The 15,735-nt window shown below is 41.3% G+C and overlaps 6 pseudogenes; all 6 read left to right on the top strand.

Moving 5' to 3' along the window:
• MTCO1P20 (MT-CO1 pseudogene 20) lies at window positions 6,210-6,567 on the top strand (annotated as a pseudogene).
• On the top strand, window positions 6,722-7,736 carry MTCO2P20 (MT-CO2 pseudogene 20; annotated as a pseudogene).
• On the top strand, window positions 8,049-8,610 carry MTATP6P20 (MT-ATP6 pseudogene 20; annotated as a pseudogene).
• MTCO3P20 (MT-CO3 pseudogene 20) lies at window positions 8,955-9,642 on the top strand (annotated as a pseudogene).
• Window positions 9,645-10,314, top strand: MTCYBP34 (MT-CYB pseudogene 34; annotated as a pseudogene).
• MTND1P10 (MT-ND1 pseudogene 10) lies at window positions 12,344-12,546 on the top strand (annotated as a pseudogene).

Consider the following 15,735-nt stretch of genomic DNA (forward strand, 5'->3'; position numbering starts at 1 on the left):
CAGTTTAATTTTAGTTATATAACCATAAACTGCCAATCAAATGACATCATCCTGTTACTCAGACACAACCCAAACCTTGACTCCTCCCCACAAACCCCATAAAAGCACCTTAAACCCTGTAAAGAGGGGCTTATTTCACTTCGCAGAAATCATTCCGCTCTCCCTCTGAGAGTATATTACTGTGCTTCAATACACTTTGCCTTGAGCTTGCATTTTGGTGTTAGTCTGCAATTCTTCGCTCACTATCAGAGGAACTGAGATTGCTGGTCCAGAGCTCCAGCTCTGTTAATCCCCACCTCTGTTAAGAATCCATCCCAGTGCAGGATTATTGGTAACACTTAGAGGGAAGGGGCCTAAGCCCACTGCTCAGCCACAGTCCCGTGGCTAAGAAGGCGTGCTGTCGGATTGCTGGCGGACTTTTCTGCTTTACCCCAGGCAGAAGGGTTTTGAGAGGGGCTGAACCCTGACCAACATGACCCTTTCACTGGGAACTGTTTCATCCTGGGCAAATGTCCCTGCAGCCTCGTGGCCACCACCCCATACACCTGCCAGATTTTCAGGGAGGAACAGGAGGGTGATTACACAAGAACTGTACGATACACTTTGAAATATACCCACTTCTCTATTTAATTGGAATTTGATAACCATCTCTTAAATGGGCCAGGAGTATGATCTGAGTTTACAGGTGAGGAAACTGAGGCAAGGCATGAGGCTGTGGCTTTCAACCAGCAACTCGGGGAGGAGCCAAGATTTGTAAACCAAGATGCGTCTGAGACAGATCTCAATCCGTTTAGTGGTTTATTTTGTCATGGTTGAGGATGCCCACAGGAAAAAAAAAAGAGACACAAGTCACAGTCGGATCTGTGGCCCACAAGTTTTCAAAAGAGGGTTTTAAGGGCTTCAATATTTCAAAGGTAAAGAGTGGGAAGGAGGAGGAGGGATGAAAAAAAAAGACAGGACAGGTAGTGAGAAGAGTTGTCACATTCTTGTGAGGCTTTGATTAGCACTTCCTGAATCTATGTGCTGCATGTAAAAGGCATGGATAGAAGAACAGTAATTATGCATTCATCTCATGCTCAGTAAATGTGTATTTTACAGAAGATAAAAATAAACAGGCAGGGCTTGGTGGCTCATGCCTGTAATCCCAGCACTTTGGGAGGCCTAGGCACTTGGATCACCTGGAGTCAGGAGGTCGTGACCAACCTGGCCAACATGGCAAAACCTCGGGTCTACTAAAAATACAAAAAGTAGCTGGGCATGGTGGTGCACGCCTGTAGTTTCAGCTACTCAGGAGGCTGAGGCAGGAGAATCGCTTGAATCCAGGAGGTGGAGGTTGCAGTGAGCCGGGATCATGCCACTGCAATCCAGCCTGGGCTAGAGAGGGAGACTCCATCTCAAAACAAAACAAAACAACAACAATAAAATGAACATAGATTAGAGGAAGCAGTCACATATGCATTTGTGTTGAAGTGAGCAGCAGGGTAATTTCTAGTCTTGGTTTTGTCATGTACCTGTCAAGGTAAGTTACTAATTTGCATTGTCATGGTAAAATTCCACAGGCTCTGTTTTAAGGGAAAAGATGTTGGGGCTCACAAGGAATTTTCTTGTGGGAAATCCATGAGGAAGACCACCTGGGGAATATGTTGCCTTCTGTCTTGGCAGATACCTGTTTAGGGACAAAAAGAAGGGCAGTTTTTTGACTGATTCAATTTCCCTGCTTAACGGTTTTCTTTGGCATAGAGAGTTTGGGGCCCTGATATTTTATTTTCCTTTGACATTATCTCTCCCTTTTACAAAATCTTTTTGAGAAAGCATTGGAGATGCAAATGAGTCTCTGGTCATGAGTTTCATCTGATTCCTGTCAGATGAAGTTGTCTAGTTTCAGTCTGTAGGGTGTTCAGGGAAGCACGGTTTTAATTTCTGGTGATTCCGAGTGAGAAAAATGAGAGAAAGAAGACAAGAATGATGCTTCTTTTGAGACTTGCAGCCAAGAAAGAATTCACGAGCCAGCCTAGATGAATTTTGGACAAATAATAAAACTGGAATACAATGGACAAAGCTAGAATCTAATAACAGGTATTCTACAGTTTCTTTTAAAACATATTTTTTTTTCTCTTCAGTCCTCTAATTCTACCAAAGACAAATCATGGTAGGACTAATTTATTTGAAAAATAAGTTGTAGTCTTATGATACTTGGCCTGATTACTTTCATAAAGTGCAGTAAGAACAATGATTTACCATATGGGTTCTTCTTAAGAAATTGGATTTGCTGGAACATCTTCTTTTTCATAAGGAATCTCAGATTACACCTTTTAAAGCCTTGAGTTCAGCCAAGTATTTATCTGTGCCTGCAGGTTTCTGTATGAATTGGGTGAGTTCCTCTCTTCTTGAGATTCCAAGATAACTTGGGGGTTCCTAGGCCTGTCAGAAAGTATTATTTTCCTTACTTACCCCACATCCCACATCAGGAACCCTGCATAGTTAAAGAATGAGGCCAATTTTTTGATGGGGCTTTCATTGGCTCTATAAGTCAACCTCTATTCCTCAAAGCTGCCTGCTCATATGTGAAAATATGCCATGCCAGTCAAAGCCTTGATAAAATAACTAGTGTCTCCAATGGTGTCCTATTGCAAAGGAAAACAGATTGTTACTGAACTTATGCAAATAATTCTATTGCCATAAATTAAGAAAACTCACAAATAGTTTCCAAATTCTGGAGAAATCAAATAGAGAGAAAGAAATGTGCTTTAACTTTTGCTCACAAGAGTGTATTTCATTCAACTGTCAAAAGCTGTACATAGCTCACAAGATATCAACGTTTCCTTGACTCTGAAGAAGAAAAAAAAAAGAATCAGCCATGTTTCAAACACAAAGTCATCTAAAAAATTATTTCAGTCCTCTATTAGATCAGTCCTAAGATAGAAAAAAAATCAAAAATGTTATTTTGGAGACTTGCCGCCAGGAAAGATTTCAGGATCCATTCTAGATAAATTTTGGACAAATAACAAAACTGGAAAAACAATGCACAAGGCCCTAATCTAGTAACAGGTGTTCTATAACTCGTTCCACCTGATATTGGGTTAGCAATCCTCATGAACATAACAACTTTTTAATTAGAGTCCTGGATTTTTTTTCTCTAGTCCAATGGCATAGCCTGTAGCTGACCATAAACTGGTATTGAGAAGAATTAAAGTAAAACAGTAACTGTGGATAGCAAAAGTATTAGAGCAGCCTTGGCAAACACAAAATTGACAAGGAAATTTGGTTATTTCTGTGACACACAACAACTTACCGTAAAAATGATTATTATTACTAATAACATATATTGCTGTGTGCGGTGGCTCAAACTTGTAATCCCAGCACTTTGCGAGGCTGAGGTGGGCGGATCACTTGAGGCCAACAGTTTGAAACCAGCTGACCAACATGGCAAAATCCCATCTCTACTAAAAATACAAAAAGCAGCTTGGTGTGGTGGTGCACACCTGTAGTCCCAGCTACTCGGGAGGCTGAGGCATGAGAATTGCTTGAACCTAAAAGGTGGCGGTTGCAGTGAGCCAAGATTGTGCCATTGCACTCCAGCCTGGGTGACTGAGTGAGACTCTGTCTCAAAACAAACAAACAAACAAAACAAAAACACCATAGAGGAAGCTATAACAGAATTATAGGCATCTCATACAATTTTGGAACACATTTATTTATATATAACTCAAAGAAAGTTACAACACCATTTTACATCTGTCCTGCTAGACCCGTGCTAGACACTTGCAAGCTCGGAGAGCACAGTCTTGGAGAGAGTAAAGAAAAGACTTGGAGAGAGCAGATGAGACATAAGCTTTATTCAGGGAACTTACATACAAGGAGTCCAGGAGCAGCAGGCTGGACAGAAAGCCCCTCACATTTGTAAAAAGCATGCAGTTTATATAGTATCCTTCCCACAGCAACCTCCACTTAGCCACCTCCACCCGGCAACCTCCACTTAGCCCAAAACAAAGGGCCTTGGTTCCCTCCAGGACCTGCTTCCCAAGGACTGGGCCAGGTTACAGGTGTTCTTCATAGGTATAGTGTAAACATCTGGATTGGCCATTCCTGGGGTCCATAGTTTAGAACAATGAACAAACATTCACCAAGGAACATAGGGCCATTCTCAGGGGATGCTTGAATTATTGCTGTCTGACAGGACATGCCCACTAGGCACTCCACTCCAGTATAGCCTTCAGTGGCCCTCTCGTACCAAGTAAGATGAATATGTCTCTTCAAGACTTCAGGGGACCTAATATCTAAAAAATTAATGAGGTCAAAACACTGGATTTGAAATTTGATTTTAGAAAGTTTGTCAAATACCAAAGGTTGAAAACACTTGATATCACAAAATAGGATTACGCTCACTATAAAGTAAGTCATTCGTGTGGCCAAAGAGATAACTTAAATATTTCAAAAACATAGAAATGTTTACACCTTGAGAGAGAGAAGACTCAGTTTCCCACACAATAACACCTCATAAAGACAGCATGGGCCGGGCATGGCAGCTCATGACTGTAATCCCAGCACTATGGGAGGCCAAGGCAAGCGGATCACCTGAGGTCAGGAGTTCGAGACTGGCCTGGCCAACATGGCGAAACCCCGTCTCTACTTAAAATACAAAAATTAGCCAGACGCGGTGGTGGGCACCTGTAATCCCAGCTATTCGGGAGGCTGAGGCAGGGAGAATTGCTGGAACCCGGGAGGCAGAGGTCGCAGTGAGCCGAGATCACGCCATTGCGCTCCAGCCTGAGCAACAGAGTGAGACTCCACCGCAAAAAAATAAATAAACAGCATGAGGCCAGTGGAATCTGTTTCTCTCCCTACCAGCTTTTTTGTAGTTTATTCAAAAAGCAAACAGACGTCTTTTATTATCTTGTAATATTACATGAAAATCTTGTTCAAAGCAGCAAGCCCAAATTTACCTTTGCTTAACACTAAAGTTAATTTTAATATCTTAGAAACAAATCTGTCAAATTTTAATTAGTTACATCTTAAGGTAAAATATTTTATAAATATTTTATAACCTTTTCAATTTCTATTAAAAAGCAGATCAATGCTCCAAGAAAGCCCTGTTATTCTCATACAGTGGCTCAGATTCTGACCTTTCATCAGTGTGGTATTTATATTAATTTTCAATTTATAGGAAAAGTAAATAATCCCCATTACAATTTTGCCACCTTGATCACAAACAAATTCTTTTTACAAGAATAATCTTCCACACACCTTCTATAATTGGCTGAAAACTTTGGTTTGGTCCTGTTTTTCATTTAACTTGAAATAATCCTTAAAAACTTCTAAACTAGATAACATTATTATTATTATTATTATTATTTTTTTTTGAGACAGAGTCTCGCTCTGTCGCCCAGGCTGGAGTGCAGTGGCACGATCTCGGCTCACTGCAACCTCCGCTTCCCAGGTTCAAGTGATTCTCCTGCCTTAGCCTCCTGAGTAGCTGGGACTACAGGGGCGTGCCACCACACCCGGCTAATTTTTTGTATTTTTAGTAGAGACGTGGTTTCACCGTGTCTACTAAAGATGGTCTCCATCTCCTGACCTCGTGATCCACCCACCTTGGCCTCCCAAAGTTCTTGGATGACAGGCGTGAGCTAGCACGCCCGGCTAATTACGTTTAACAAAACCCACATTCCTGTGCCTCTTATAACGTTTTTACCAAAAACACATCCTACCTTTTGTCACAGGTATAACTGACTGGGACCAATATTGTGGACAGTAAAATAATTTACCCAAGACAGTCATGGGTAAAGAAAGACAGATTTATTAGAGAAAGTACAAAGACACATTGCAAAAGTGCAATGGTCAGCACAGCAAAGAAGGGACGTCTGCAAAGTGTCAGGGGCTGAAGGGAAGTTTCATAGGGTTGTACTGGAGGCTACCTGTGGAATGAGGTGCAGCTGGGGCTACATGCGGAGTGAGGTATTTGGGAACAGGATGTCATGCTAGTTGGTTGTCTGTGATCAGCTGTCTCTCAGAACAATTGTTCTCCCCCACCTGGGGCCCCTTCCTCGTTGTTGCTTACTTATCTTATTAGGACTCCACACAAATTACTCCTTATCAGATTTTAGCCAGGACAAACAGCTGATATTTCTGGCTTTTTAACTTTTATACAAAAGATAACCTCCTGAGTGAAACCAATAACGCTTAACTAAGGTCATTACTGAACCATGGATGCATGGATTCCCCCTGTTCTCAGGCTACACACTAGACAGAAAGTGAGCTAAGCTATTTTCACTGTATTCTTATCTTTGCAGGTGTAAACTCAACCTTTTCCCCACGGCACTTCCTTGGGTTATTCTGAAAGCCTCTGCAGTACTCTGATTATCCCGATGTATATACTACATGAAACACTGTCTGGTTTATTAGTTCATTTATCTCACTAACAGCAATCATACTAATACGTTTTTATGACCTGAGAAGCCTTTGCTTCAAAAGAAGAAGTTTTAGTAGTTGAAGTATCAACTACAAATCTCAAATGACTCTACGGTTGCCCACCACCATACCACACATTTGAAGAACCAGCTTACGTAAAATCCTTGACGAGAAAGGAAGGAATCAAACCTCCTAAAACTGGTTCCAAACGAGCTTCATAATCACTCTGACTTTCTCAATTAAAATGTATTAGTAAAAATAATTACATAACTTTGTCAAAGTTAACTTGTAGGTTAAAATTATTTATCTCTTTATGGCATATCCATTTAAACTAGGCTTCCAAGATGCTATGTCACCTATCATAGAAGGAAGAACTCCTTCATTTTCATGACCACACCCATGTGGTCATTTTCTTTTCTCTGTTTTTTTTTTTTTTTTTTTTTTTTTGAGACAGAGTTTCACTCTTGACTCTTGTTGCCCAGGTTGGAGAGCAATGGCACGATCTTGGCTCAACACAACCTCCGCCTACCGGCTTCAAGCGATTCTCCTACTTCAGCCTCCCACGCAGCTGGGATTACAGGCATGTGCCACCACGCCCGGCTGATTTTGTATTTTTATTAGAGACAGGATTTTTCCATGTTGATCAGGCTGGTCTTGAACTCCCGACCTTAGGTGATCCGCCCGCCTCGGCCTCCCAAAGTGCTGGGATTACAGGCGTGAGCCACCACCGTGCCTGGCCGTGATCATTTCCTTAATTCGTTCATTAGTACTTTATATTACTTCCCTGATACTAACAAATTAACTTGCACAAGACTATAGATGCCCAAGAAGTGGAGACAATATGAACTATGTTGCTTGCTAGTATCTTAATTTTAATTGTTCTCCCATCATTATGTGTTCTAATACATAATAGATGAAATTAATAATCTCTCCCTTTCTGTCAAAACTATAGGGCATCAATGATATTGAAGCTACAAATATACAGATTATGAAGACCTAAGTTTTGACTCCTACATAATTCCCACAACAGACTTAAAATCAAGAGAGCTGTGGTTACTTGAAGTTGACAGTTGAGTAGTTCTCCCTATAGAAATATTAATTCATATGTTAATTTCATCAGAAGATGTCCTATATTTGTGAGCCATACCATCACATCAATAGGCCTAAAAATCGTTACAATCCCAGGGCATTTAAACCAAGCAACCTTAACATCTATACGACCAGACCTTTACTACAGACAATGCCCAGAAATCTGCAGATCCAACCATGGCTTTATACCCATTGTTCTTGAACTAGTCCCCCTAAAGCACTTCGAAAATTGGTCAGCCTCTGTATCATAATATCACTGTGAAGCTAATTAGCATTAACCTTTTATGTTAAAGACCGAGAGCCAGGATTTCTCCACATTAAAATGTCCCAACTAAACACATCTACATTATTTACTATGGTTTTATGTATAATCATATCACTCTTTATCTTATTTCAATTAAAATTCTCAAAATTTATCTCCCCAATAAGCTCAACACTAAAATTCTTTGAATCACAGAAACTTGAAATTCCTTGAGAAATGAAATGAATGGAAATGTATTTGCCTTTCATTGCCCTAACAGTAATACGAAGACCCGTAGTTATAATCTCCTATTTCCAAGTATTTTATTTCTATCATCTAGTCACCTGATTAACAACTGGCTAATCTCCATTCAACAGCGACTAATTCAACTCATATTAAAACAAATGATAATAATACATAATACCAATGGATGAAGCTGATCCCTTATACTAATTTCATGTATTCTGTTTATTGGCTCAACTAATTTACTAGGAGGCTTCCCACTCACACCAACTACTCAACTCTCAATAAATTTAGGTATAGCTATTCCAGTATGAGCAGGAGCAGTAATTACTGGTTTTTGTCACAAAACAAAAGCATCCCTTGCTTATTTCCTACCACAAGGAATGCCTATTTAACTTCTCTCTTTTCTAGTCATCGTCAAAACCATTAGCCTTTTCATTCAACCAATAGCCTTACCCATATGATTGACAGCCAATATTACAACTGTAAATGTAAATTATACATTTAACTGGAGGTGCCATCTTAGTATCAACATCTATTAGCCTACCCACAGCCTCAGTCCCATTTATTACCTTGATTTTACTAGCCGTTCTTGAATTTGCCATGGTTTTAATCCAAGCATATGTTTTTACAATTTTTTTTTGAGACAGAGTCTAGCTCTATCACTCATGCTGAAATGTAGTGACATGATCTTGGCTTACTACAGCCTCCAACTCCTGGGCTCAAGCAGTCCTCCAGCCTAGCCTCTGGAGTAGCTGGGACTACAGTTTCATGTCACCATGTCTGACTATTTTTTTATTTTTTATTTTTTGGTTAGATGGGGTTTTATCAATGTGCCCAGGCTGGTCTCAAACTCTTAGGTTCAAGCAATCTACCTGCCTTGGCCTCCCAAAGTGGGATTATAGGTGTGAGACACCATACTCAGTGGTTTTTACACTTCTAGTGAGCCTCTACTCACATGATAGTACTTTACGACCTACAAAACCCAAGCATATAATAGAGTAAGCTTCAGCCCTTGGCCATTCACAGGGGCGCTCATAACTACTGTAACACTTGTTGAAAGGCACTCATTACAACATCTGTCTTAGCCATATGATTCCACTCGAACTCAATTACTCTATTAACCCTAGGCCTAGTAACTAATACATTAACAATGTATCAATCATAATGAGACAATATCAGAGAAGGCACATTCCATGGCCACCACTTGTCAATTGTCCGAAAGGGCCTTAGATATGGAATAATTTTATTTATCCCATCAGAAGTAGTTTTCTCTGCTGGATTCTTCTGAGCATTCAAGCCTGGTCCCAATCCCAGAACTCGGAGGCTGCTGACCTCCAACAGGTATTTACCTCCTTAACCCCTTCGAAGTGCCCCTACTCAACATATCCATTCTCTCAGCTTTGGGAGTATCAATTACCTGAGCCCATCATAGTTTGAAAGAAGAAAACCAAAAACACATACTCCAAACCTTATCCATTACGATTGCCCTGGATATTTACTTTACACTCTTCCAAGCCTCAGAATGCTTCCAGGCACCTTTCACCACCTCTCATGGCATATATGGCTCAACATTCTCTATCGCTACAGACTTCCATGGACTTCACGTCATCAATGGCTCAACCTTCCTAACCATCTGCCTTGTGCATCAACGAAAATTTCACTCATCAGACTCTTGCCAAATTCCATTGCACATCTGCTCTACAATCAAAGACACCTTGGATCTAATTCTCCTTCTAATATTACTACTCATATCAGTACTGTTCTCAACTGACCTATTAGGAGACTCAGACAATTACACTCCAGCAAATCTCCTCAACACACCACCCGACATTAAACCAGAATGGTGCCTTTCATTTGCCTATGCAATTCTACATTAAACCAGAAGGGTGTCTTCTATTTGCCTATGCAATTCCACATTAAACCACAGTAGTGTATTTCATTTGCCAATGCAATTCCACATGAAACCAGAATGGCAACTTTCATTTGCCTATGTAATTCCACATTAAACCAGAATGGTACTTTTCATTTGCCTATGCAATTCTACACTCCATTCCTAATGAACTAGGAGGCATGCTGGCCCTTGTCTTCTCCATTCTTATCCTAGCTGTTGTTCCAACACTTCACATATCTAAACAACAAGGCATAATATTCTGACCATTAAGTCAATGTCTGTTCTGAATTCTAGTAGCAGACCTTCTTACACTTACATGAATCGGGGGCCAACCTGTTGAACACCTCTTTATTATTATGAGCCAAGCAGCATCCATTGTGTACTTTTCCCTTATCCTTCTTTTTATACCAATTACTAGCCTAATCGAAAACGAGCTACTCAAATGAAGAAGTCCTTGTAGTATCATTAAGTGACTCTGGTCTGTAAACCAAAAATGGAGGACCCGGCTCCTTGGGACCATTTCCAGGAAGAAGCTTCTTGCTCCACAACCAGCACCCAAAGCTGAAATTCTACTTAAACTATTCCCTGATTTTTGTACTTGAAGTGCAATACATTTATTTTAACTGCTATGTCAGATTGGAAAATCCACATAAATTACTGTTGCAACTATGTACATCATGCATTCCTGCTTGACCCCATGAATTAACATGCTAGTACTAGATGTGCCTGATCGTATATTGTATATTTATGTATCGTACCTTAAATCTTCACCTCCATGAATATTTAGCAGGAGTAATAATGTCACAGCAACCTGTCATACATTCATCAAACATTCTGCAGAAAGCGATTAACATACATATATATCATCCAGTATAATAATCCCTTAATATTGCATAGGACATTCAGTTATTTATGAATCATAGCACATTCAAGTCAAATCATTTCTCAGCAACACGCTTATCACCTCCTAAAAACATTCTTAACTAACAAGCTTTGAGAAATCAGCAGCCTGCTTGGAAAGTTCTATCCTTCTTACTCCCGGCCCATGACACTTGGGGGTAATTAGACTGCAACTATACCTGGCATCTGGTTCTTCCTTCAGGGCCATGGAGACTAAGATCGTCCACTTGTTCCTCTTAAATAAGACACCTCAATGATTTAGTGACAATCACCTCATGGTCACTTGCAGAAGTACTGACATGTATTTGGTAGTTTTTAAATTGGGAGATGCTATGACTCAGCATGGTGGGAGCCTGAACCCAGCCAACTCCATTGTAGCTGGAGTTTAATGGAATATTACGAGTCAACACTTACAACCACAAGGTGCTAATTTATTCATGCTTGACAGATATCATGAAAAGAAAATGCACGTTCAAGCTCACCCTTTCTCCAAACATGTATCTGATTTACTCCTCAAACTCCCCTGCCCCCTTTTCCCTGGACTAACCTAATTATGCCAAAAAAAATTGTTTGTTCTTGCCAAGCCCAAAAACAAGATATGTATAACATCAATGACAGCCAGGGCTCACACTCCAAATCAAATTGTAATCTCAACTACAATTACATTTTAGCCAAACTTTCAATTAAACCTATTTCAAAAACACATGATTGTAAAATAAAAACCAGGCTATCTAGGCTAAAAATCCCACTTTTTATTTCTAAAGTTACTAAATATTGCCCTAATAACTAGCATAGTACTTCAACCCTTCATTTTGTAACAGAGAGAAAATTGTCTAGATCCGAATTAATGTAGCTTATGATATTAAAACAAGGCACTGAAAATGCCTAGGTTAGTTCATGTAACTCCATAAACACAAAGGCATAGTTCTGGTCTTTTTATTGGGTTTTAATAAGATTACACATGTAAGCATCTGGATTCCAGTGAAAACGCCCTCCAGATCATCTAATTTCAAAAGGAGCAGGTACTAAGTGCACAGCCCTACATCATAACACCTTGCTCAACCACGACCCCACGGGAAACAGCAGTGATAAAAAAAAAAAAAAGCAATAAATGAAAGTTTGACTAAGCTATACTAAACTATTAGGGTTGGTAAATTTCATGCCAGCTACCGGAGTCATACAATTAACCCAAACTCACAAAAACAAGCATTCAGCGTGTTTAAGGCAATTCTCATAATAAAGCTAAACTTTAAACCGAGCCATGAAAAGCTCAAGCTAAAATAAAAAGAAACTACAACAATGATTTTAGTATCCTGAGAACATGATAGCTAAGGCCCAAACTGGGACTAAATCTCTCACTGTGCTTAGCCATAAACTTAAATAATTTAATAAACAGAATTATTTACCAGAGCACTATAAGCAATAGCTTAAGCCTCAAAGGACATGGCGATGCTTTACAGCTCTCGAGAGGGGCCTGTTCTATATTCAATAAGCTCCGATATACCTCAGCATCTCTTGGTAACTCAGCCTGTATACTGCTTAAACAATCTCACAGGAAGTCACCCCATCTATTAATTATTCTTTTATCAGTCCCCTTGATAAGTGGGTCATCCACTTTATCATCTCTTATTCTTGCACAATAATCTGCATGATTGATTTTACCATCATGACCCCTGTCCATAATGTAATTCATCTCAACACTAGCAGAAACTAACCGAGCCCCATTTGACCAGCAGAATGTGATTTAGAGCTAGTCTCAGGCTTCAGTATAGTTATTTATTTAATTTTTTTTTTGAGACAAAGTCTCACTCTGTCACCCAGGCTGGAGTGCAATGGTGCGATCTCGGCTTACTGCAACCTCTGCCTCTGGGCTCAAGCGATTCTCGAGCCTCAGCCTCCTGAGTAGCTGGGATTACAGGTGCACACCACCATCCTAGCTGATTTTTGTATTTTTAATGGAGATGGGGTTTCTCCATGTTGACTGGGCTGGCTCTGGAACTCCTGACCTCATGTGATCCACCTGCATCGACCTCCCAAACTGCTGAGATTACAGGAGTGAGCCATTGCGCCCGGCCCGGCTTCAATGTTGAATATGCTGCAGGTTCATTGGTTGTTTCTTCATAGCAGAATATACTAACATTATTATAATAAATGTCCTAACTACTATTATTTTTCCAGGAGTACTACATGATGTCTTTATAGCAAAAATCTATACAATTAATTCCATTACCAAACTCTCCTACTGAGAACCCTGTTTCTGTGAATCAGGGCATCAGACCTATGAGTTTGATATGATCAACTTATGCATCTTCCCGTGAAAAAACTTTCTATTCCTTACTCTAGCCCTATGCATACAGAATGTTTAAATATCTGTCCTAATATCTAGTATTCAGCCACAAACATGGGAAATATGTCTGATAAGAGAGTTACTTTGACAGAGTAAATTACAGAGGTTTAAATCTTCCTATTTCTAGAATTACAGGAATTGAAACTAGTCCTAAGAAGTCAAAATTCTCCATGCTATCTGATACACCATGTCCTATAGTAATAGCAGCTAATAAGTAAGGGCAGCTTACCCTATGGTAATGGCAGCTAAATAAGTTATCAGGCCCATACCCAAAATATGCTGGTTTATACCCTTCCTGTACTAATCAGTTCTCTAATCTTCCTCACTATCCTATTCACTATTTTTATAGAAACTGTAATTATAGTAATCGCCTTACACTGTCTCTTAATCTGAAAGGATTAGAAATAAATATGCTAGTCATAATCCCCATAAAAGGCCAAACCCAGGCCGGGAATGGTGGCTCACACCTATAATCTCAACACTTTGGGTGGCTGAGGTGGGTGGACTGCTTAAGGCCAGGAGGTCGAGACCAGCCTCGGCAACATTCATAGGGAGTGAGGCCATGCTTGGTAGTGAGTGACTCATTCAAAGTTTTCATGGTTTCAGGGAGATTCTTAGTCTAGGACCCCCAAGAGCCATCCTGGGACAGTGCTCATATGTGGGTCTTTAGCAGGGCACTCTTCCACTGAGGTCTGCCCCAGTGGGTTACATGAGCTGTGGAACCTCCAGTCTATGGATTGTTCTGATGCCCAGTGCTGGAAATCATGGCCCATGAAAGGGGGCCCTGACCTCTATCTGTCCTTTTAGCCATGCCATTCGTGACACTAAGAGCGGTGAGACGCTTCATGGTCTCCAGTTGGGTGGCACGTTTTACACTGAAGGCCTGTAGTAGCCTCATTGTTGTATCCACACAGGTTAAGTCATACCGTTTCCCTCCGCTCTGGGGCGGGGGGGCCAATAAAATCGACTCGCCAGTCCCGCACAGGTTGTATGGCTCGATGTATGTGACCCGGTGTGGAGGGAACCTTTCTAGTCGCAGCCATGAACAGGTCCCGGGGTTCTGAACAGCTGCTAGATTATCTGCACAGTGGGCAGGGAAGCCTACAGTCTTTGCTTTGGCCCACCTCATGGCTGCCCCCTGGTGGTCGCTCTTATAAGGTAGCCACATGGCAGCCTCCCACAATGGGCTCCAGCAAACCATGGGAACATGCTTAAGGGCGCCTGCCTCCTGATTTCCAGGAGACAGCTTAGGACTATGTGCATCAACATGGTACACCATAAGATGCACATCATTCTTTTGTCACCTGACGTGGATATTCTGCCACATGGACAGGCCCTCAAAGGGGCCTGCCCCAAACCTCCCAACTGTAAGCAGCCCATTGACTGCTTTGTCGTTACCCCCATTCTATCCATATGGTGTCAGTATCCATTTGCACCGTCAGCACTGACCGTAAGTGTTAGGTGCTCTTGCTAGTTCCATGTGTTTGCCTGGCAGATATCGTAAGGGTCGCCTCATATATGGTAGTTGGCATGGTAGGTGGATCTATTGCCATGTCCGCTCTTTCAAGCACGTCCTGTAGTACTTGACTTAAAGGACTAGTGGACAGGGCATCCCTTTGTTGCAGAGAGGCATGGCATTTCTGTAGGATGTGTGGTTGTGCCACCCCGGGAGGCGGGCTTGGCTAGGAGACCTTCCATTCACCCTTGTATAAGGTAGGCAGTCTTTACTGGGACAGTCTGCTTTCTGGCGATGGCCTCTGCTCGTTGCAATGTCCTATACATGGCCAATAGCTGCTGCTCCAGCACTGTAAAGTGAGATTCTGCTCCCTTCCACAGTTGAGACTGAAACCCTACAGGTACCATTCCTGTGGGTTGCATTTGCGACAAACTCCAACTCAGGTCAGTGGCGTCTCTAGTGACTTCCAGTACAAGAGGGTGCTGTGGTCATGAGGCTCCTGTTGCTTGAGCTTGTTTCACCCATATTTTGTTTTGTCAGAAGCCTCTTGCTCCATATCTGTCCAGTCCCATTTGTTTCACCTTTCTTTATTAGAGTGTATAATGGGCAAAGGGATTGTGCCAAATGAGGAATGAATATCCTCCAGTAGCCCAGTAAACCTAGGAAAACCTGCAGTTGCTTTACTGTCTGAGGAACAGCATGGATGCGGGCTTGATGGTCCCCTGGGGCCCATCGGAGTCTCTTCCCAGGAAATTGGAGGACCTGAAGGAAAACCCTTAGAGGCAGCAGGCAGTGGAGCTGAGGCCTGAAGAGGAGCTGGTTTCCCACTGCTGACACCCCTGAGGCTTTCCGGATCCCTGGTCTTCCCTAAACCTGGCTTTAAAATTGCCTGTGTGTGTGTGTGTGTGTGTGTGTGTGTGTGTGTGTCTGTCCATACATGTGTGTGTGCACACCCATAGATTTCTTTATTTATTTAATTCTGTGAGCTTTCTCTCTGGATTCTTCCAATACATGTCTCTACTGCAGAGTTAGCCAGAGGATTTTAAAAAGCTTTCGCTTCACTTTTGTTCTTGCATTTGCTTTTGACTTTGTTTTGCTTTGCGCTCTCCTTGCTTCAAAAAAAAAATGTTAACTGATACAAACATTGTCCCAAAGAG

This window comes from Homo sapiens, chromosome 22 (genome assembly GCF_000001405.40).
Source record: "Homo sapiens chromosome 22, GRCh38.p14 Primary Assembly".
Classification (NCBI taxonomy): Eukaryota; Metazoa; Chordata; class Mammalia; order Primates; family Hominidae; genus Homo; species Homo sapiens.